The sequence below is a fragment of the Homo sapiens genome, chromosome 12 (assembly GCF_000001405.40).
Source record: "Homo sapiens chromosome 12, GRCh38.p14 Primary Assembly".
In the NCBI taxonomy this organism is placed as follows: domain Eukaryota; kingdom Metazoa; phylum Chordata; class Mammalia; order Primates; family Hominidae; genus Homo; species Homo sapiens.
In genome coordinates this window covers 76319542-76320743 of record NC_000012.12, presented here as the reverse complement: position 1 = coordinate 76320743, position 1202 = coordinate 76319542, and the positions used below count along the sequence as shown (strand labels likewise).

General features: G+C 52.9%; 1 annotated feature.

Annotated features, from left to right (window-relative positions):
• Positions 219–811: an enhancer, noted in NCBI's record as "H3K27ac-H3K4me1 hESC enhancer chr12:76713713-76714305 (GRCh37/hg19 assembly coordinates)". NCBI's record gives its function as "activates a minimal SCP1, AML or CMV promoter by ChIP-STARR-seq in primed H9 embryonic stem cells {active_cell/tissue: H9 hESC(primed)}" and the evidence as "EXISTENCE:reporter gene assay evidence [ECO:0000049][PMID:30033119]".

The window sequence follows — 1202 nt, the reverse complement described above, 5'->3', positions numbered from 1 at the left end:
TTTTTCAAAGTTTTCAACTTCTTTGCCTTTGGTTTGAATGTCCTCCCATAGCTCGGAGTAATTTGATCATCTGAAGTCTTCTTCTCTCAGCTCGTCAAAGTCATTCTCCGTCCAGCTTTGTTCCGTTGCTGGTGAGGAGCTGCATTCCTTTGGAGGAGGAGAGGCGCTCTGCTTTTTAGAGTTTCCAGTTTTTCTGCTCTGTTTTTTCCCCATCTTTGTGGTTTTATCTACTTTTGGTCTTTGATGATGGTGATGTCCAAATGGGTTTTCGGTGTGGATGTCCTTTCTGTTTGTTAGTTTTCCTTCTAATAGACAGGACCCTCAGCTGCAGGTCTGTTGGAGTACCGTGTGAGGTGTCAGTGTGCCCCTGCTGGGGGGTGCCTCCCAGTTAGGCTGCTCGGGGGTCAGGGGTCAGGGACCCACTTGAGGAGGCAGTCTGCCCGTTCTCAGATCTCCAGCTGCGTGCTGGGAGAACCACTGCTCTCTTCAAAGCTGTCAGACAGGGACATTTAAGTCTGCAGAGGTTACTGCTGTCTTTTTGTTTGTCTGTGCCCTGCCCCCAGAGGTGGAGCCTACAGAGGCAGGCAGGCAGGCCTCCTTGAGCTGTTGTGGGCTCCACCCAGTTCGAGCTTCCCGGCTGCTTTGTTTACCTAAGCGAGCCTGGGCAATGGCGGGCGCCCCTCCCCCAGCCTCGCTGCCGCCTTGCAGTTTGATCTGAGACTGCTGTGCTAGCAATCAGCGAGACTCCGTGGGCGTAGGACCCTCCAAGCCAGGTGCGGGATATAATCTCGTGGTGCGACATTTTTTAAGCCCATCGGAAAAGCGCAGTATTCGGGTGGGAGTGACCCGATTTTCCAGGTGCCGTCTGTCACCACTTTCTTTGACTAGGAAAGGGAACTCCCTGACCCCTTGCACTTCCCGAGTGAGGCAATGCCTCGCCCTGCTTCGGCTCGCGCACGGTGCGTGCACCCACTGACCTGCGCCCACTGTCTGGCTCTCCCTAGTGAGATGAACCTGGTACCTCAGATGGAAATGCAGAAATCACCCGTCTTCTGCATCGCTCATGCTGGGAGCTGTAGACCGGAGCTGTTCCTATTCGGCCATCTTGGCTCCTCCCCCACCCCCAAAAAAATTTAACCAGCAACAAAAATGTTGATGATGATAATGATCTTGATGATAATGACAGATTAAGACTGACACAC